The sequence below is a fragment of the Homo sapiens genome, chromosome 5, assembly GCF_000001405.40.
Source record: "Homo sapiens chromosome 5, GRCh38.p14 Primary Assembly".
Taxonomy (NCBI): Eukaryota; Metazoa; Chordata; class Mammalia; order Primates; family Hominidae; genus Homo; species Homo sapiens.
This window is the reverse complement of record NC_000005.10, coordinates 67,175,642-67,197,551: the sequence shown is the minus strand read 5'-3', so window position 1 is coordinate 67,197,551 and position 21,910 is coordinate 67,175,642. Positions and strand designations below refer to the sequence as shown.

Sequence of the window (21,910 nt, the reverse complement as noted above, 5' to 3'; positions counted from 1 at the left end):
TTTGAACTTTGGCTTTCTTTAATCATTGCCACATCTTGCTCCATAATAAGGGTAATTGTAATCCTGCTTCAAAGCTATTTCTAAGAAGAAATAGAGCCAAGGCTGGCATCCCTAACTCTACTCTCCTTTAGCCAGGCTGCTCTATCTATGGCAGTGTCCCCTACTTCCCCAGGCCAGGTTAGGAGGGAACAAGAGAGTCCACCCCAACTGCTTTAACAAGCCTGAACCGCCAGGTCAAGAGATGAAGTAATCTTCCCCCTATACGAAGACCAGAGGTGGGGATGGACAAGGTGGCCAAGGCAGCAGCTGAGGCTCAAGGAGCAGATACACTCTCAAGCCTGCTCCCTCCTGCTCCAGTTCCCAGCTCAGCAGGTGCCACTGAAGGGCTCAGTTCTTCAGTCTGCCCCTGCAGAGTGCTCTGCCCTTCCATGTTCTCTGACACCTCTTCTATTCACTCACCTAGGACAACTAAGAAAGTGGCCTCCTTGGTGAGTAGAGCTTCCACAGCCTCTCTCGGGGAAAAGGACCAGAAGCTGTTGGAGTTGGCCAAATGCTTGAAGTTGGCATAAAGTCAATTGGAACCATCACAATGAGAGTCTGTGTGATCAGCCCAAAAGGACTGCACAACTGATTCATGTTCAGTGCCAGGAAATGCAACGGGCCATTCTGGGGTTGGGTCCTCAGTTATTTTTGGCAAAGATGGGTGGTATGCAAAAGGGACTTCCTTTTTTTTTTTTTTTTTTTTTTCCAGCACAGAGCCACAGAATGCTGAGCAGTCAACAGCATTTCTTGTTCCAAGATCACCCTTCTGAGTACCTCTCTGGCTGCCAAATTGCCAGGGCCTTCACAGTTTGATTCCATTTCTCAGCTCCAAGCATTAGGTAAACCCACCAAGCAATCCTAGCCTGTGATGGCGTTTGACGTCAGCTGCTTCTTTTGGGTGGTGCTGTTTTCTGCCGGCTGTAAAGTCATCACCTCCTGGGATCAGATGTGCATTGAGGTGAGTCCAAACTGTTTGTCTTTATGCAGATTAAACTGTCTGAAAATTTTGAGATTTAGCACGCAGTCCAATCTGAGCCTTGGCATCCCAATATCTAGTGTCTTTAAAAAGGAAATAAGGTGTATATATAATTTTTTCATTATTGTGAGAAAGGAGCCAAAGAACTCTGCCAGGGGATCATCTGGTGGCATCTTAATAGGAAGCAAAGAGAATTTTTCTCCTCTTCAAACAATTCCACCCAAATAATCCCAAGTGGGTCATAAGATATTAATAGGGTCTGTGTGCACAAAGCAGACCCCTAAACCTGCCTCAACCTAGGGGAGCTGTTGGTTTAACATCCCCACTCTCACATGGCCTCTATCCCAATGAGTCCTTTGGTCTCCTCTCAGGGTGAGAATTAGTAAAGACAGCGCTGTGCCAGGTTTTCGAGCATTGAAAAGATCACTCTGAATGAGTCTGGCTCTCTCTTGGACTTGGACAGCCTTCCATCTGTTTTACTAACCCATAGGAGGAAAATCTGAGAATAGAGCCAAATTGCACCTTCTGTTTTGGACCATAGCAATATTTATCAACCTGTGGGAAGTTCTTGGAGGGGATAATGAGAGAAAAAGGAGAAGGGCCTCCGTCTCTTGCCATCCTCTAAAATGCTTCAAACTTCCTCCCACTTTCTCTGACCCCACAAGTGATCAATACCACGTGGCCTGTCAGACAAGGGCTGCATACAGGAGGAACCATGAGTCTTGGTGGCTTGGTGAGCTGCTGGTCTGGGTTGAGGTAAAAAGAAGAGTAAGAGCCAGGAATAGCCAGATGTGGAGTTGCCCTGGGGCAGGACTAGAAGGAGATCAGAGGATCAGGAAGAGCAGAGCAAAGCCAGCACTGGGGTAAGGCTCAGAGCTGGGTGAGCAGAGCCTTGTTGGTCTGGCATTAGGATGGAATCAGCAGCAGGCCAAGAGGAGGCATCATGCCAATGAGAAATGAAGGCTGGGAAGGTGTGTGTTGCTTTGCTTGGGCTGTCATAACAAATGCCACAGACTGGGCCAGGCGTGGTGGCTCACGCCTATAATCCCAGCACTTTGGGAGGCCAAGGTGGGTGTATGCCTTGAGACTGGGAGTTCGAGACCAGTCTGGGCAACATGGCAAAACCCCATCTGTACTAAAAATACAAATATTAGCTGGGCATGGTGGCACATGCCTGTAATCCCAACTACTCGGGAGGCTGAGGCAGGAGACTCACTCAAACCCGGGAGGCAGAGGTTGCAGTGAGCCGTGATTGTGCCACCGCACTCCAGCCTTGGCGACAGAGCAAGACTCTGTCTTAAAACAAACAAACCAAAAATACACCAAAAAACAAAAACAAACCAAAAAAACCCTGAATACCATAGACTAGGTGACTTAAACAAGAGAAATTGATTGTCTCACAGTTCTGGAGGCTGGAATTTTAAGATCAAGGTGTTGGCAGAGTTTGCTGCTTCTGCACCCTCGCTCCCTGGCATGCAGATGGCCATCTTCTCTCTGTGTCCTCTCATGGCCTTTCCTGTGTGCATGAGCACTGGTGTCTTCTTGTTTGTCCAAATGTCCTCATCTTTTAAGGACTCCAGTCAGATTGGATTAGGGCCCACCTATATGACCTCAGCTTCCCTTAATGACCTCTTTAAAGGCCCTGTCTCTAAATACAGTCACATTCTGAGGTCCTGTGGGTTAGGACTTCAACATATGAATTTGGTGGTGGGGGAGAGAAAATTCAGCCCATAACAGAAGGAGAAGAGTAAGACATTTCTATCAGCCCCAGAAGGCTGTCCCCTCACCCTTCAGGTTGGAAGGTCTGTAATTGCCTGACAAGTTCTTCCTGCCCACTGCCCAGACAAAATCAATCCACTGAGACTACGGCATTGCAGTAAAGAAAGTTTAATTGATGTGAGACTGGCCACGCCAGGTGGGAGACAGAGTTATTACTCAAATCAATCACTCCAAAGTCTTGGAGATTAGGAGTTTTCAAGGATAGTTTGGTGGGCAGGGTACACGGGAATGGCAAATGTTGACTGGTTGGGGAAGAAGTCATAAGGTTTTGGAAAATGGTCCTTAGTTCTGAGTCCACCTCTGGGTGAGGCCGCAGGATGGGGTGAGTCAGGAGTCTGGGTGGGGTTAGTCTGAAAGATATCTCAAAAAAAAATCTTAGATTCTATAATAGATGTTATCTACAGGAGTAATTGGGGAAGTCACAAATCTTGTGACCTCTGGCCACATGACTCCTGAACAGTAAGGAGTAACTATGCCAACATCTTAGGCAAATTCAAGCCCCTCTCATAATCCTAACGGGTGACCTTTCTTTAGTTTTAAAAAGGTGCTTTTGTTTTAAGAAGGGCTATTACCATCCTTGCTTTAAGGTTAAAGTATAAACTAAATTCATCCCAAATTCAGCTTGGTCTACACCCAGGAATGACCAAGGAGAAACTGGAGGTTAGAAGTAAGATGGAGTCAACTATGTCATATTTCTCTTGCTGTCATAATTTTGCAAAGGTGGTTTCAGGTCAATGTCATACAGACATTTGGGAGGCATGACAAGTGGGTAGGAATAAGGGCACCATCCCCCCAGTGATCAGGAACATAGGTTATCACCTCCAGGAGACAGCCTCCAATAGGATAACATCACCATTTAATTCCACCTCATTGGGAAGCAGGCTGTTTTAAATGCCCCACTCTTATACACCTACAAGTTTAACTTTGAAATCCTTGCATCAGCGGGAGGCCCCCTAGTCCTTTGGCTGCCTGTTCTGGGGCCTTCAGTGCTATTCATGTCTCAGGAGTGGTGCTCAGTGTTCTAGGGCCTGCAAGCCTAGCCCTGTGTGGCAGCAAAGTCTTTCCTTTTTGGATAAGCCAGATGAAACTGAAACCTTCCAATACAACAACATTCCTGCAGCCCTCCCTCTGAAAGAAGTCTGATTTTAAATGACCTTGTCAGCTATTCAGTTAGCATCAGATCTGTATTTTCTTTTGTTTCATCTATCACGTGTGAGTGAGTTCTCAAGAACAAGATTCGAAGGCTGTTTAGGGAGCCCTTGCTACTGTGTGGATACTAGGGAGGGAGCTGGGGGATGCAAAGAAAAATGGAACTTATTCCTGAGATTCTGGAACTTTCCAGGCTGCTGGCAAGGGATAAAAGGAGGGGTGGCTAAAAGAATAAACTCTTGCTTTTGACTTAAGGGTTTGGCCGTTTTTCAAGGGTAAATTACCCCGAACTTTACTCACCCTTCCAAGCTGCTTTCCTTTCCTCTTTTCTTCTTCCCCCTTCAGCTCATGCATAGTTAACCACATAATGTCTGCATGTTCATGTGACTGCCATTACCCTATTAAGCCTGTGAATAAAAGTTCTCTGAGGTGGAATTTGACGAAGGAGACTTTATTCCAATGAACAGTTCGCAAACTGAGGAGACACGGCCTTTGGCACGTAGCCTTTGGAAGGTGCATTCCAGGGAACAAATGAGGAACTTGGCCTCCATAGAGAGAAATTTTCCCACTCAGCTTCCCAATCAAATTCATTTACGCAGCAGAAGGATTCAAACTTGCTTAGTTCTGATCGGTTGGTGCAGCTGGACCCTGACTGGTTGATAAAGCTGAGCCCTGATTGGTTGGTTCAGGTGAGATCAGAAAGTTCCAAAATTAAACAGAGATGGGGGTTTTCAGAAACTCAGAGTACATGTGTGACCTCTAGTCAGCAAGTGGCTGCTCGGCTGTATTTAAAATTTAGGCCCAGTTTGCCACTTGGGATCTGATATAGTTTGGATCTGTGTCCCTGCCCAGATCTCATGTTGTATTTTAATCCCCAGTGGTGGAGGTAGGGCCTGGTGGGAGGCGTGTGGGGGCAGCTCCGTCACAGCTTGGTGCTGTCTTGGTGATAATGAGTTCTCCTGAGCCTGAGATCTGGTCATTGAAAAGAGTGGCACCTCCTCTGTCATTCTCTCTCTCCTGCTTTCACCATGCAGCGTGCCTGCTCCCCGTCTGCCTTCTGCCATGATTGTAAGCGTCTCAAGTCCTCCCCAGAAGCCAAGCAGATGCCAGCACTGTGCTTCCTGTAGAGCCTGCAGAGCAGTGAGCCAATTAGACCTCTTTTCTTTATAAATTACGCAGTACTGTTTCTTTTTTCTTTCTTTCTTTCTTTTTTTCTTTTGAGACGGAGTCTCACTCTGTCGCCCAGGCTCGAGTGCAGTGGCGTGACCTCAGCTCACTGCAAGCTCCACCTCCCAGGTTCACGCCATTCTGCCTCAGCCTCCCGAGTAGCTGGGACTACAGGCGCCCACCACCACACCTGGCAATTTTTTTGTATTTTTAGTAGAGACGGAGTTTCACCTTGTCAGCCAGGATGGTCTCGATCTCCTGACCTCCTGATCCGCCCACCTCGGCCTCCCAAAGTGCTGGGATTACAGGCGTGAGCCACCGTGCCCGGCCCCAAAGTTCTTAATTTTAATATACCTCAACTTATTTTTTTCCTGTATTTTCAGTACAATTCTGTCCTGTTTAAGAAATCTTTGCCTACCTCAAGACCGTGATATTATCCCATGTTTCTTCTAGAAGCTTTATTGTTTTGTATTTATTTGCTATTTCTAGGTTTCACATTTAGATGGATCAAAATTGTTTTTGTTTTTTACATACAAGTAGGAGTCAAGATTAATTTTTAAATAAAACTTTTTGTTTGGAAAAATATCCAAACCTACCTACAAGTTCTGAGACTATTACAGTGAACACCTACAGGCTACATAGATTCTTCCATTGTCAAATGCTACATGTTTTCTCTCTCTGTCTCTCTCTCTCTCTGTGAATGTTTGTGTCCCTATATATGTGTGACTTAAGCAAAAATATTAGGACCCGTATCAAGTCTTTGGAAGCTGATAAATATGCAAAGAACAGCTGGAATTCGTGTTCTGTGATTTGGATTGTGGCATCATTTTAGATGCACTCTTGAAATATTTACTTGGGAATGTGGGCATGCCTCCCCTTTTCAAGTGAGCTCAGCTTGGCCATCCTTTTCCCTCAAAACTGTGATAGAAGTGAGCCCTTCAGTCCCTAGGTGTGGGATGGGGACTGGTTAGCAGAGCTCTTTTTTGAAAGGAACTCCAAGTTCATAGACACAAGGGCTTCCCAATAGCTTTCGATAATGATGTGAGGTTGTGATGATCCAGTTAAACGCTAACTCTTCTTGTTTAGTGCTGACACACATTATCGCATTAATCCTCACAGTAAACTTGCAAGGCGAAGTTCCTAACTTCAATCTACATTTGAGGAAAAGGGAGGCTCAGAGAACACAGCTTGGTGGTTGAGAGCTAGGATTTGAACCCAAGCAGTCTGACTTTACAGACAAACAGAAAATAAAGTGCATGTAACTGGAATGCCCTTTGCCTGGAGGAATCAGATTGACAATGAAGTTACAGGAATGTGCTCTCTAGGGAGTGTTTGTTTTGTTTTCAGAGACTAATTGTTGCTCTGGGATTTGGCTCAGTCGACTTGCTCTATCTTGGATGGAGGCATGCTTAATGAGGAAGCGTTGGAGGTCAGTGTCCCAGACTTCTGATGCATGGGGAGGTGGCTGCTGCGTGTGTCAAGCGCAGATGAGAAATCCGAAAAGGTGAGAATAAGCACTTGAGTGAAATTCAGAGTTCCAAATTAGAAAATGTTTCAACACTTGCAAGGAAAGAAAATACAGTGGGATGAGAGGGAGTTAGATATACAGCAGAAGGGAGGAAAATAAGAGCCTGATTGAGAAAATGCAAATGAATACCTAGAGGGAAAAGGGATTGCAAATACAGATGTAGCTCTGGGAGCACAGGTCTGAGACAGAGCTGGAGACAAAGCAGATGACACAGGTCCCAGTGCACAGTGAGTCCCAAGCGAATGCCCCTTGACTTAGAATAGTGATGGGCATGAGGCAATTGTCATGAATACCACGTGGCCTTGCCACAGCTCTACTCGCTGTGTGAGTTCACATCAAGAAGTCCCATCTGCACTGGAGCCAGCAGAAGCAGAGAGGTGAGAAAGGGACTTTGGAAATTAACCACATTTCTAGACTTCTCTAGGAAGAGAAGGCTGGGTTTATAGGAAATGGTCATGTGGAGATCCGAGAAACTGCAATGGTAGTGGGTGTCTGCCTGGAAAAAGTAACAGAAGCACGTGGTCCTGGCGGTGGCCATGCTGTCTGCTGGGGCCCAGTGTTCCTTCTCTGCATCTTGTCCTTTCACTCTCTGTTGCATTACCGTTGTGCTGTTCTGGAACCCTGGCTATCAGAACTCATGCTCAAAAATGTTTCATTTGAATATTGATAGGGAGAATGACACACCCTTACTAATGCAGTATTTCTACCAAAAATGTGTAACCAGAGTCAAATTATGAGGAACATACAAACCCATAACTGGGACATTCTGCAAAATATAGGCCTGCATTCTTCAAAGGACATTCATGTTGTGAAAGACAAAGGCTGAGGAACTGTCTCAGATTAAAGGAGTCTAAGGAGATATAACAACTAAATGCAATGTGTGATCCTGGATTGGAAAAACAAAAATTACTATAAAGAACAATAATGGGACAATTGGCAAAATTTGGATATAGACAGTATGTTGGATAATTACATTGTATCAATATTAAATATCTTGAATTTCATAATGGCACTATAGTCATATAATATCCTTGTTTTTAGGATATATAAACATTGGTGTATAGGGCTTAAGGGTCATGATGTCAGTAGTGTACTCTCAATCAAACAGAATGTGAAGAATAGTGTGTGTGTGTGCATGTGTGTGTACCTTTTGCCTTAAAAAATTACAATAGTCTGAAAACAATCTAATGCTTCCTAGATAATTCCAGAGCATGTGGTGCTTTGGTGCCTCTATCATCGTGGCCATTTTGATGATACAATTGTGATTATAAAAGCTATAAGGGAAGGGCTACGTGTATGCTGAGCCCTAGACATTCTCTAAAATGTGTTTGGTTTCTAAATTCTCTTATCAGCTGTGTTTCTTGTCACTTGCCTCTTTCTCCTAGAAATCAAAGGCACAGGATCTATTGCCATTTCCACCTAACCAGAGATGATTCAATATTATGGCACAGGCTTATGGTGGCCTCCTTGATCCTCTTGGTAGCGTCATCCACTCGTTATCAGTTTTTCACTGGGTTGAAACCAAGCTACTTCATTTACCTGCTTTCTATTTTCAAGGAGCTCACTCAGGCCACTGGCTTAGCAGAGCTCCTCCTGGATTCTCAATCTTCTGCATCACATTAGGGCAGTAAAGTGCTTAGTAAAGCACACAAAAGGCTGAGGCACAGAATAATTTAGGTGTCATGGGCACTTATATATTCAGGAGAAGGAGGGAAATGACAGCATTGAGCCTTTTGCTGTAGGGCCGGAATAGAGTGAGACAAACTGAGGAAGTCCCTTTTCTCCAACCGTATGTGACATCAGTTATGCCAAAGGAGACGAGAAAAGCAAAATGTCTCCTCTAAGCTAATCAGCACCTTTGCAACTACTGGGGCAGCAGCTGCACATACATATTCTCTCTGGGTCGTCCATATTCATGGGCACTGAGGATAGGTCTGGCAACACGTGGTTTTTTCCCCCACCAGTCAGCTAAATCTAAGTTTTAAATGCGAAGTGTGCATTTCAAGGACATTATGTGGATTTGTGGCAGTGCCTGGAGGACTTTGGGTCTATAAAATGAAGAATAAATTACAAGGACATATAAATAAAGCATTTTCATCAGTGACAGTTATAATGTTGTCACAATATCAAAGAAAACTGGTGACTTTCTGCAGATGAGCATGTCTGTGGCTACAAGAAAGTGCATCGCTAAGCAGAAATTGGAGTGAAAGAAAATGAGGTTACAATGGTGACATCTCAAAAGCCTCCTGCTTCAAAGCAAAGCAAGATGTGTGCAGTTCTGTTTCTCACTAAGCAGATCTGTTTGTAACTCGGCATAAGAAAAGACACTGATCTGGAGTCCGTAACAGAGTAGATCTTTTCCAGCCTAGGGAAGTCTCAGTGGGGCTTCTGGTGAACCCCTATGTGTCAAGGAAAGGCAGGGGCTGGAAGGGTGAATGAACTCACCTGGAGCCTGAGATGATCTGAGAGCTGGCCCAAGGTCCTGGGATGTCCTTGTTCTTGTGCTTCCAAGGTCACTGTCTTAGTCGGTTTCCTGCTGCTTCACAGAATGCCACAGCCTGGGTAATTTGTATAGAAAAGTAATTTATTTCTCATAGTTGGGAGCTAGGAAGTCCAAGAGCCTGGCTCTGGTATCTGGTGAGGGCCTTCTTGCTGTGTGATTCCATGGAGGAAGGTGAAAGCAAGCATGTGGACAGAGCAAATGGAGGCCTAACTTACCCCCAATCTTTTTTTTTTCTTTTTGAGGCAGAGTCTCACTCTGTGGCCAGGCTGGAGTGCAGTGGTGCAATCTTGGCTCACTGCAACCTCTGAGTCCCTGGTTCAAGCGATTCTCCTGCCTCAGCCTCCTGAATAGCTGGGATTACAGGCATGCGCAACCACGCCCAGCTAATTTTTGTATTTTTAGTAGAGACGGGGTTTCGCTATGTTGGCCAGGATGGTCTTGAACTCCTGACCTCGTGATCTGCCTACCTCGGCCACCCAATAACTTACTTGCTTTATCAGGAGTCCAGTCCCGCGATAACTAACCCACCCTGCAATAATAGTATTAATTCATTCATGAGTGTGGAATCTTCATGATCCAATCACCTCCCAAAGGCCTCACCTCTTAGTATTACAATGGCAATTAAGTTCTCAACACATGAACTTTGGAGGACATATTCAAAGCATAGCAGGAACTTTCCTTCATATCTTTCCAAGGAGACTCCACAGGCAAAATATACTCCATCAGACTTTCATACCTGCCCTGTCAGACCTTCCTATTTTCCCCACTACCCTTCATCTTAAAGCATTAGCCAGATAAATAATGACCCCACAGTTCTACAGGCTTCTAAAAAACCACTTCCCATTTTTACCTACTTAGTTCAACACATAACTTGTATTAGGACATGATTGGCAGGCTTCAGAATACATGACTACCCTGGGGCACAGGATGAGGAAGTTATCTGTACTTATGTGTAGGGTTCTGCCCAAAAGCCTACTGTCTGGTATCAGCAGCCTACAAATACAGAGATCTAAAATTAATTCATACTTCAAGATTGCAAGGCCTCAGGTCTATGCCACCCTGCTAGTTTTTTTAAGCACTGTGTTAAGAAAAAAATGTTAAACATATACAGAAATAGTAACAAAGAATCTCAATATTCGACAATCATAAGCATTTTGCCTACTCACTTCATCTCTGCATTCCTCTCCTCCTTTTTTGCCAGATTATTTTAGAGCCAATTCCAGCATCATGCTGTTTTACTCCTAAATATTTAAATATGCTTCTCAAAAGAATAAGAACATTTCTTTTAAATAACCACAAGTCCACTGTCATTTACAAAATCCAGAATTCCTTAATATCATTGAATACTGTCCTCATTCAAAATTACCTGACAGTCTATAAAATGCCTTTTTGAACTGCTTTATTTGGATCAGGATCTAAATGAGGTCTACTGTATTATTTGATGGTTATGTCTCTTAAGTAGATCTTATATCTCTGTATCTTTTAACAAGCACTATCTCCTCTCTCATTCTCTCTCTCTCTCTCTCTCTCTTTCACACACACACACACACACACACACAGATAGAACAAAGTCAGTTGTTCCATAGAATGTCCCACTTAAATCCACCATATCACTTTGAGATGTGAAGTTAAACCTAAAATCTTGATGAGTTTAAAGTTTAATTATTTTTTTGGCAAGAATACTTCATAGACAATGCTGTATACCTCACATTGTCTCACATACGAAAGTATGTAATGTTTGATTGTCTTATTTTGGTGATGCTTATCTAAGGTCGATTTGTTTGTTTCAAACTGAAATTAAACATTTCCATTCAACCAAAATCAAAACTGTAAAACCAAGTGCATTCAGAGAAGTCTCACATTTATCCCTGCTCTTCTATCTGGTCTCTTCCCTCTTCTTAAAGGCAATCAGTTTTTGGGTTTTTGCATGGTTTGTTTTAACAAATATAAGAAAATTCACACACACCTTTCTTACACAAAAGGCATACTCTGTACATTATACTACATACTGTATACTATATACACTACATATATTGTTCTGCATTTTGCTTTTTTCACCTTGAAATATATCCCAGATATCACTCCATATCAATATATGGAGGGTTTTTTTTATTTTTTTCAGTTTTAGAGGATTCCATTTTGTGAATGTACCATGTTTTGTTCAAGTAGTCCTATATTGATGAATAGTCTGGTTATTGTCAATTTTGCTATTACAAAAAAAGTACTACAGTTAACAATGTGCATTCATCATCTTGTTTTTGGCAAGTGTATATTTGGTAAAGATTACTAGAAGTACGATTGCCGCTCGGAAGGTAAAACATATATAATTTTGCTAGATAGTCTATAAAATTATTAAGTCTAATATTAATTTACTTTGTTTCTCCCATCAGAAAGAAGCCAACAAAACATATAACTGTGAAAATTTAGGTCTCAGTGAAATCCCTGACACTCTACCAAACACAACAGAATTTTTGGAATTCAGCTTTAATTTTTTGCCTACAATTCACAATAGAACCTTCAGCAGACTCATGAATCTTACCTTTTTGGATTTAACTAGGTATGTATCTGAGTTATTTGTGTGCTCTTTTATTTTATTTAAGTTAAAATACAGTATGTGCTTAATTTATTTGCAGGACCTTTTTGGGGGGCCCAGGGACAATCTGCTTATACTACATGTTTATGCCTCCCCATGAAATACTCCTATGTGGGTGAAATGTAATTTAAATAAACATCAACCAATGGAGAGGAAAATGGATTGCTCTCAAACCAGTTGCATCAATAGCACTGTTGAAGCAGTTCTAAGGAATACTGATAGCAAAAATGAAAATAATCTTGTACTAAATCAGATGCCAAACTATGCTAAATTTTGGCATAGTTTATTTTTGGGTAATTACATTTAAGAAAAATTTCTAGGAGAAAAGCACACCATCTACTTTTCCCCCCTACAAATTGGAAAATGAGTTCCATTATTTTGTTATAGTGGCATAATTGGGATTCCACATGCTGAGCCAGTGTTTGAGAACCAGTAGGAAGAAGTATTACAAGAAAATAAGGGAAGAAAATGAAAGGGCTATACTGCGTGTGTGTGTGTGTGTGTGTGTGTGTGTGTGTGTGTGTGTAAGAGGGGACAGGCTCTGCGTGTACCTGCAGTCTGCACCCTTTGCGGCAGTTCTACTTCTTCTATTTTGTCCTTCAACTTCAGCTTCTGTGGACAGGATGTCCACATCCATACTACCGCTTCATCTTTAAAAGCACCAGTGTGAGATTCCATGGTGCGTAGTATCATCCAACTTATGGTTAGATGAGGAGGCCATCTGTGTGTGTGTGTGTGTGTGTGTGTGTGTGATCCAGTATTTTTAGGTGCAATACCAGGATGGTTTTCTCAGATGAAAATACAGAGGTTGAGAAAAGTTGTAACTTGCCCGGGATGACACAGATTTTTGTGTGTGTATATATATATGTATTTTATACCATATATTATCTATTATGCATTCTATATGATATATTTTGTATTACTTAAAACAGTAAATAATAATTTGATTTTTGCCACAATCAAATGACCCATGGTTCCTTAGAATACAGGCACAAACCTCTGAGGGTTCAATCTAAGGGGTGAGATACCTGGAAAAAAAATCTAGATTGGCGTGTTCAGAAGTGAGGCTACTCATTAATTCCTTCAATAGGCCATCTGTTGATATTGAAGAAAGTTCTTATATTTGATTTTGAATGATACAAAAGATGACTTTGTTAATGTGTGTCACTGTAAAGTATTTTTTTACTTTTTTCAAATGAATTATTGTTAAATACGATTATCTTTTCAAGGTGCCAGATTAACTGGATACATGAAGACACTTTTCAAAGCCATCATCAATTAAGCACACTTGTGTTAACTGGAAATCCCCTGATATTCATGGCAGAAACATCGCTTAATGGGCCCAAGTCACTGAAGCATCTTTTCTTAATCCAAACGGGAATATCCAATCTCGAGTTTATTCCAGTGCACAATCTGGAAAACTTGGAAAGCTTGTATCTTGGAAGCAACCATATTTCCTCCATTAAGTTCCCCAAAGACTTCCCAGCACGGAATCTGAAAGTACTGGATTTTCAGAATAATGCTATACACTACATCTCTAGAGAAGACATGAGGTCTCTGGAGCAGGCCATCAACCTAAGCCTGAACTTCAATGGCAATAATGTTAAAGGTATTGAGCTTGGGGCTTTTGATTCAACGATCTTCCAAAGTTTGAACTTTGGAGGAACTCCAAATTTGTCTGTTATATTCAATGGTCTGCAGAACTCTACTACTCAGTCTCTCTGGCTGGGAACATTTGAGGACATTGATGACGAAGATATTAGTTCAGCCATGCTCAAGGGACTCTGTGAAATGTCTGTTGAGAGCCTCAACCTGCAGGAACACCGCTTCTCTGACATCTCATCCACCACATTTCAGTGCTTCACCCAACTCCAAGAATTGGATCTGACAGCAACTCACTTGAAAGGGTTACCCTCTGGGATGAAGGGTCTGAACTTGCTCAAGAAATTAGTTCTCAGTGTAAATCATTTCGATCAATTGTGTCAAATCAGTGCTGCCAATTTCCCCTCCCTTACACACCTCTACATCAGAGGCAACGTGAAGAAACTTCACCTTGGTGTTGGCTGCTTGGAGAAACTAGGAAACCTTCAGACACTTGATTTAAGCCATAATGACATAGAGGCTTCTGACTGCTGCAGTCTGCAACTCAAAAACCTGTCCCACTTGCAAACCTTAAACCTGAGCCACAATGAGCCTCTTGGTCTCCAGAGTCAGGCATTCAAAGAATGTCCTCAGCTAGAACTCCTCGATTTGGCATTTACCCGCTTACACATTAATGCTCCACAAAGTCCCTTCCAAAACCTCCATTTCCTTCAGGTTCTGAATCTCACTTACTGCTTCCTTGATACCAGCAATCAGCATCTTCTAGCAGGCCTACCAGTTCTCCGGCATCTCAACTTAAAAGGGAATCACTTTCAAGATGGGACTATCACGAAGACCAACCTACTTCAGACCGTGGGCAGCTTGGAGGTTCTGATTTTGTCCTCTTGTGGTCTCCTCTCTATAGACCAGCAAGCATTCCACAGCTTGGGAAAAATGAGCCATGTAGACTTAAGCCACAACAGCCTGACATGCGACAGCATTGATTCTCTTAGCCATCTTAAGGGAATCTACCTCAATCTGGCTGCCAACAGCATTAACATCATCTCACCCCGTCTCCTCCCTATCTTGTCCCAGCAGAGCACCATTAATTTAAGTCATAACCCCCTGGACTGCACTTGCTCGAATATTCATTTCTTAACATGGTACAAAGAAAACCTGCACAAACTTGAAGGCTCGGAGGAGACCACGTGTGCAAACCCGCCATCTCTAAGGGGAGTTAAGCTATCTGATGTCAAGCTTTCCTGTGGGATTACAGCCATAGGCATTTTCTTTCTCATAGTATTTCTATTATTGTTGGCTATTCTGCTATTTTTTGCAGTTAAATACCTTCTCAGGTGGAAATACCAACACATTTAGTGCTGAAGGTTTCCAGAGAAAGCAAATAAGTGTGCTTAGCAAAATTGCTCTAAGTGAAAGAACTGTCATCTGCTGGTGACCAGACCAGACTTTTCAGATTGCTTCCTGGAACTGGGCAGGGACTCACTGTGCTTTTCTGAGCTTCTTACTCCTGTGAGTCCCAGAGCTAAAGAACCTTCTAGGCAAGTACACCGAATGACTCAGTCCAGAGGGTCAGATGCTGCTGTGAGAGGCACAGAGCCCTTTCCGCATGTGGAAGAGTGGGAGGAAGCAGAGGGAGGGACTGGGCAGGGACTGCCGGCCCCGGAGTCTCCCACAGGGAGGCCATTCCCCTTCTACTCACCGACATCCCTCCCAGCACCACACACCCCGCCCCTGAAAGGAGATCATCAGCCCCCACAATTTGTCAGAGCTGAAGCCAGCCCACTACCCACCCCCACTACAGCATTGTGCTTGGGTCTGGGTTCTCAGTAATGTAGCCATTTGAGAAACTTACTTGGGGACAAAGTCTCAATCCTTATTTTAAATGAAAAAAGAAAAGAAAAGCATAATAAATTTAAAAGAAAAGGCTGAGAAATGAAACTTGGTATCAAATCGACTCCATTAATCTTCTTAATCCTTAGGTCTGTAAGGTCTCTGTAATGCCCCTAGGGTGTGAATGGCTATAAAAAATAGAACCCACCCCCAAGGTTTAGAATTTCTTCCACATTTGCCTCACTCAGTTCAGAAACCAGGCAGGCTCTCTCTGCCTATCTGGTGTTCTGGCTCTTATGTTACAGATCCTAACTTGCAGGTGGGCTGTGACCCAAAATGCTCTTCTCATTTGGGCATCCGGTTCTTAGAAGTCTCTTTTCCAGAAGAACTGTGAAATAAATCGTGGTTTGGTTCTCAGGCTTGCCCTTAAAAGCCTATTTGCTTCGGAGAGCATTTGAATTAGCACATTTACGTGAAAATGAGGAAGAAGGCATCCCTGCATGCTAGCTGTTGGGAACACAGTAAAGCTGGCTTAGTGAGAAGTGGTTTCTGTTGAGGCTGGGGATGTCACCAAAGGTCACACCAGCCATGGACAGGGGCCTGAACCACTGAATGCAGATAGACAAAGAGCAATGTCATGACTTAGGCTTAAAGGGCCATACTCACACAGGCCTGTATCTTCTGAAGTCTTGATTGCCAGACAAGCTTGGCGGGAGCTCCTGGACTCAAGTGGTGCATTGTTCTGTTCAATAACCAATTTTAGGGTAGAGATAGAGATGGTAACTTATAGTTATGAAATTCTGATAAGCTAACAAAATAAAAATGGATCCAACCAATCAGAATATATTAGTCCTTAAGTTGAAGGCATACTAGTGGGACATCATAACAGAGTGAAAACTTGGGGGTCATCCTTTTTGTCTCTTCGCCCCCAGGAAAAGCAGGGCAGGCAGGGAACAGCAGTGGGTGAACCTCTTCTCTGCTCAGGGATTTCAGGCCTTCACACTTGCTCTTTCCTTTGCCTCTAAGATGCTGCCATTGGCCTCCAAATGGCTCCTTCCTTCATCTTGAGATTTCAGTGCTAATATTTTCTCCTTTGAGGGATTTCTTCTCTGACCTAGCTAATCCAAAGCAACCTCTATGCCTCACCTGGTTTTATTATCTTTATAATGCTTATCAGTGTTTGGAATTAACTTCTTCATTTGTTTTAATTAGTTTCTCTTGTCTTGTCTCTCCCAAATACAAGTGCCATGAGAGGGTCTTTGCCTAAAGATACCCTAGAACATGCCTGGGACATAGTAAGGACTCTCTCTCTCTCTCTCCATATGTGTGTGTGTGTGTATGTGTGTGTATGTGTGTGTGTATATATATATATAATTTTTTTTTTGAGACTGATTCTTGCTCTGTCGCCCAGGCTGGAGTGCTATAGTGCAATCTTGGCTCACTGTAACCTCCGCCTCCCAGGTTCCAGCGATTCTCCTGCCTCAGCCTCCTGAGTAGCTGGGATTACAGGCGCCCACCACCACGCCTGGCTAATTTTTGTATTTTTAGTAGAGACAGGGTTTCACCATGTTGGCCAGGCTGGTCTTGAACTCCTGACCTCAAGTGATCTGCCCGCCTCGGCCTCCCAAAGTGCTGGGATTACAGATGAGAGCCATCGTGCCCGGCCAAGATTCAATATATTTTTAATATGTGCTGATCCCTGAGCCTTTATTAGCTCCTAGTTCTGCCACCATGCCTATGCTGCTGACTCTTAGCTCCTGACCTCTCCACGGTTTCCTGGGCCTCCCACATGTTTTTCACTGGCATCTCCTAGGGAAGTTTTTACAAAATGGATTCCCAGGCCTCACCCCCAGATACTGAGATTCTGTTGGACTGAGGTTGGCTCAGGGTTCCCAGCCAAATGATTCCATGTAAAATGTGGAAGGTCCAAACTCTAAGAATCCAGTCTTAGACAGCACCAACCCATTGAGTCCCTGCATATTCTGTCACAGGTAAGCTCTTTCTTGCCTTAGGGATTTAAGCTGCAGATGGAAAATACTAATTGCTGATTTACCAACCCATAGACATACTGCCCTCCATAATATTTAATATGTAACTTGGAAAAACGAAACAATTCTGTAGAAAACCTCTGATGTGAATTACATCACACTAACAATGAAAGGGGCCCAGGCCTTAGCAAAGCATAATTGCCCATCCTGCTTTCACTTCTCAGGCCCGCTCCCTTCCATGCGATGCAGCTTGCTGCTCCGTAACTGATCTAAGGCTTTGTGACAGCTCCTCTGTTTTAAGCAACAGTAAATTCACCCCACAAAGTCAGAAAGGGAGCTTGTTGATGGCTGCTGTCAATTTTATTGCTTTAACCTGTTTACTAGGATAGACTCTGTAACATGGTGTGTTTATTGGTTTTATGTATTGCATGTTGTTGCTGCTCTGACAAGCTACTCCTATAAAAATGTGTTATTATTGCACGATGTAGCTCAGTGAGCTGACCCTGCATTTCAAAGGGTACTGGAGCAAATAGCACTGAAGTCCATAAAAGCTGACTGGCCTCCATCACAGAGGACTCTCTGCATGAGCTGCAACTCCTACAACCCAGGAGAGAATTACACCTTTCCCTGTGCCAGCAGCCACTGCTTAGTACAGCACAGCCCTTGAACACAGGCAATATCTGTAAAATTCCAAGACAGAAAACTGTCGTGCCATTCTTATTTGTCCAACTCTCCAATCAGTGTAGTTTGCAATTTTGATGTTTATAAAAGTATGAAACAAATGGCTCTTGAATGTTTTCCTATATTACTATAGTGTGCAAGAGGGGTAACTGACATTGTTTGGCCCTGAATGCTGAATAGAAACTTGAATTATAGCAAGAGGGGATGTGGTTGTTTCTTAGCAAGTCATGACTGGGGGGTCCCAAGTGTTGGGCTGGAGTTGATTGCCTGACATGTTAAGAGTATGAAGGTGTAACATGGTGGGAGTTAGCCTGAAGGCTGTGGAGGAATGGATAAGCCCAGTGGGCTGTTCTAGTTTAACATCAGAATAATCGGGGGACTTCTTTACAAAACAGATTCCTGTGCTTCACCCCTAGATATTGGGATTCTGTGAGAGTGGGATTGGCCCTGAACTCTCAGCCATGTAAAATACTTCCCTTATCTTAATGTTATCAACCAATAGCAGAAGTATATATTAGGCCCCATGAGTCAAATGAGCTGGAGAATTGCTCCATATCCCATAAGAGGAAATTTCTTAACAAAATGGGGAAAAAGCGCTAAGGAACCCTCAAATCCAGGGGTGAAACGTCCTGGTCAGGCGGCTCGTTAGTCCCTTCTGCCGTCACCGCCATCCTCCAAGACCCTGCTCCTAAAGCCACCCTGCTCTCCCACCCACTCTCACCCACTGCACTTTATCCTAGCTATTGACAATTTGAAATCATTTATTGAATACTGTGGAACTTGATAAAGGCAAGAATTAATCTACATATTCTATTTAAAAGCTGTTATTGCTCATGAATGATTAAGCAGTGAAGTTCGTGAAGTTCATCGAACACCGTCCTCCAATCCTCCCCATCTTTGGTTAATGTTCTCTGAGCACTTGGCTGGATCCTGCAAAGGTAAGCAGAGGACAAGTGGCCACCAGAGCATCCATTCCATCTCCTCCTCCACCCTTTATGGTGATTAATGGGCTTTCTAAATAAATTAGGTCTCCCTTTTTCTCTTTCTCTCTTCCTTGGAGAGAACCTAAATGTGCAACAATAGATAAATGATTAAGGATATTAGATGATCTGAATAAATGAGGAGATACTCCATGCTCTTAGGTGGAACATCTTAACACTAAAAATATGTTGATTCTATTAGCAATCAGAGAAATACAAGTTAAAATGAGATAAATGTTTATATCTATTGGACTGGCAAAAAGAGAAAGCTAGATGATAGTGTAGTTGGGGCTGTGGGGTTTTAGGAACTACATGCCCTGATTATGGGGATGTAGACTGGTACAGCCATTCTAGGACCATCTGGCAACAATTAATCAAATTAAATGTATTATCCACAAACTGCTCTGGGTTTTTTTCCCAAGAAAGCATCATATGTCCACAAAGTGATTCATTGCAGCATTATTTGTGGAGGGGAAAGTTCACAGCAATTTGAGTGTTCTGCACTAGGAAGTAGGTGAGTAAAATGGGGAAGATGCTCAAGACAGGAAGCACTAGACAGTAGTTAGAAGCAGTGTATTAGATGCAGCCATAGCAACGTAGCTGAATCATAAACATATAGAACTTAATGTGAAAAAACAAAATTATATATATATATGTATGTGTGTATTTATATATGTGTATATATGTGTGTGTACATATATGTGTGTGTATATATAAAAAATATATATATATTTTTTTTGAGAGTCTCACTCTGTCGCCCAGCTGTAGTTCAGTGCCACCATCTTGGCTCACTGCAACCTCTGCCTCCCAGGTTCAAGCGATTCTCCTGCCTCAGCCTCCCAAGTAGCTGGGAGTATAGGCATACACCACCATGCCCAGCTAATTTTTGTATTTTTAGTAGAGATGGGGTTTCACCATGTTGGCCAGGATGGTCTTGATCTCTTGACCTCGTAATCTACCCACTTCATCCTCCCAAATTGTTGGGATTACAGGCGTGAGCCACTGTACCCAGCCAATAAAATAATATGTTAACATGGTCATCCATGTAACTTAAACAAGCATGCATGAAAACAATGATACATACATTTTGCAGGAACAAAAGCAAAAAGATAAACCATTAACATAATTGCTTATGGGGTGGTGGTGGAGAATGGAAGGGGCTGTTGGGATAATTAAATGAACCTTAGAATAGGCCAAGGTTGATGTGCCAGGAACAGAAGAGTAAGATGGCCTCCATGGTCTGCACCTGAGGCTCTCTAACAGATTTATTGAAAGAAAGGAAACACATTTATTGAAAGAAAGGCATACCACAGGAAATAAAGTGGTATGGCTCAAAGGTATAATGAGACACCATGCAGCCATTATACATATTGCAGAAGTTTGCTTATAAACATTGAAATATATTTGTTTTAATATTCAAGTGACACTGGCCCAAGAGTTTCATAGACAGTTGCTTTTGGATAAACATAAATATGGACCCTTCTGCTGTAAAAGCTTGAAACATATCTGTTTTATCTGAGTTCCTTTCTCAGGAAATGACCTTCAGGCCTCTCACAAAAAGTATCAAAGAACTGAAACCAGATTGCCACACCAGATGCCCCACCCCTCATTCACTATGATTGCTTCCTTGCCCCTCCCAAGTTCCTGTTTTCTTACACATTGTTACATTTTTTTGTGTGCTATATAAACCCTTGGTTTTAGTTGGTCAGGGAGATGGATTTGAGACTGAGCTTTCTTCTGCTCTGCTGCATCACTCAATTAAAGCCTTCTTCCTTGGTGACACCTGTCATCTCAGTGGTTTGCTTTTTGTGCAGTGAGCAGCAGGACCTAGACCAAACCCCTGGTGTTTTGGTGACACAAGTGGAAGAGCAGAAGAGTGGGCTAAAGAGCATGCCCACTGTTAATTCATTATTCAGCAAAACAAAAAAATACCTATAAGTTAAAGAAACAGAGTGGCTGGTAGGATTTCAGGGATTCAAATACTTTCTTCTCATCTATATTTCCAACATGGCTTCAATGACCAGGTCTGGGCAATAAGGAGAAAAAGGAATTATTTTTTAAGGAAGACTTTTGCTTTTAAAAAGATAAAAAACAGAGATCATCGGTTGTGAGAATGTACAGGTACTGAAAAGGAGGCAGTGTTTTTCTAAGTCTTTGTGTTTTCAAATGCAAATGGTAAAGCCCAAGCTTTGAGGGAACAGAGGGAGCCATAGCTGTTCTAAGGATCCCCATTTGAATGGGGCAGTAGGACATGCATTACATGGGGTGTCCACAGAACTGCCTCCAGCCCCAACAGGAGTAGATATGTCTCCAACTCAGGAAAATTACTTCAGTACAGCACTGTTTAACACAGCATACGTATTCCAAAAGGACAGAACTTTAAGGCAAATGATTTTTATTTAGACAGGTTAAGGCTGGAGGATATGGTGATGCCAGCCTGACATATGCAGACTTTGTAGCTGCAACATGCTTGCTGCAGGCCTTGCAAACATCTTTTCATTCTTCCTTTCCCAGATGTTGACAGCCATCTCCTGGCAGCGCTTAATGAAATGGCAGATGACTATTTGTTAGAGGCTTTCAGCTTTACAAGAGCAATAGACATTTCGTCAAGCTGTGTGGGGTGATAACCTGTAACCATATGCAACAGATCTTTTTCCCATGTCTGGACATACTAAACTGGCATGTCACAGAGTGTACAGAGAACTTCACTCTTGGGACCCATCCCCTTTTTCAAGTGCTTGCCTGCCTACAAGTATTGGAATTGACAGCCCCAACATCAGCCAGTGATGTTGTAAGAGATAGTGATCTTGTCTTTTGAAATGCTGGGTCACAGAAATCAGTGAGATGTTGCTGAGTGTTTTCCTATAAGGAATAGTGCTAATGACTCCAGTGCAGGGTCTGAGGTGTCTCAACTGCCAGAGAACTTCATCATGGGTCAGGCTGATTGGCTTTCAGCATACAAAACGTAATCAAACCAAGGTTTGGCAAAGCCTTGGTCATTTCCAAATTTTCTAGATATATGAGACATGTAGGGGGTAGAGAAAGAGAGGAATAACACAAAATGATTGCTTTGAGGAATAAAAACATCCTGG

At 42.8% G+C, this 21,910-nt stretch overlaps 1 protein-coding gene across 3 annotated transcripts, besides 2 other annotated features; it reads left to right on the top strand.

Moving 5' to 3' along the window:
* Positions 1-752: 752 nt before the first annotated feature.
* Positions 753-17,939, top strand: CD180 (CD180 molecule). 3 transcript variants are annotated; one of them, XM_005248504.5, is made up of 4 exons: positions 753-1,000; positions 6,461-6,617; positions 11,535-11,701; positions 12,967-17,939. In XM_005248504.5, exons 2-4 carry the CDS (start codon positions 6,567-6,569, stop codon positions 14,693-14,695), a joined length of 1,947 nt encoding a protein of 648 aa, XP_005248561.1. In that variant the 5' UTR covers positions 753-1,000; positions 6,461-6,566; the 3' UTR covers positions 14,696-17,939. The 3 variants fall into 3 exon arrangements, with proteins under 3 accessions (XP_005248561.1, NP_005573.2, XP_047273134.1); XM_047417178.1 differs by lacking the exon at positions 753-1,000 and adding an exon at positions 4,986-5,086; NM_005582.3 differs by lacking the exon at positions 6,461-6,617.
* Positions 1,780-1,929: an enhancer, noted in NCBI's record as "active region_22624". NCBI's record gives its function as "activates an Ori minimal core promoter by ATAC-STARR-seq in GM12878 lymphoblastoid cells {active_cell/tissue: GM12878}" and the evidence as "EXISTENCE:reporter gene assay evidence [ECO:0000049][PMID:35858748]".
* Positions 3,845-3,944: an enhancer, noted in NCBI's record as "active region_22623". NCBI's record gives its function as "activates an Ori minimal core promoter by ATAC-STARR-seq in GM12878 lymphoblastoid cells {active_cell/tissue: GM12878}" and the evidence as "EXISTENCE:reporter gene assay evidence [ECO:0000049][PMID:35858748]".
* Positions 17,940-21,910: the final 3,971 nt, after the last annotated feature.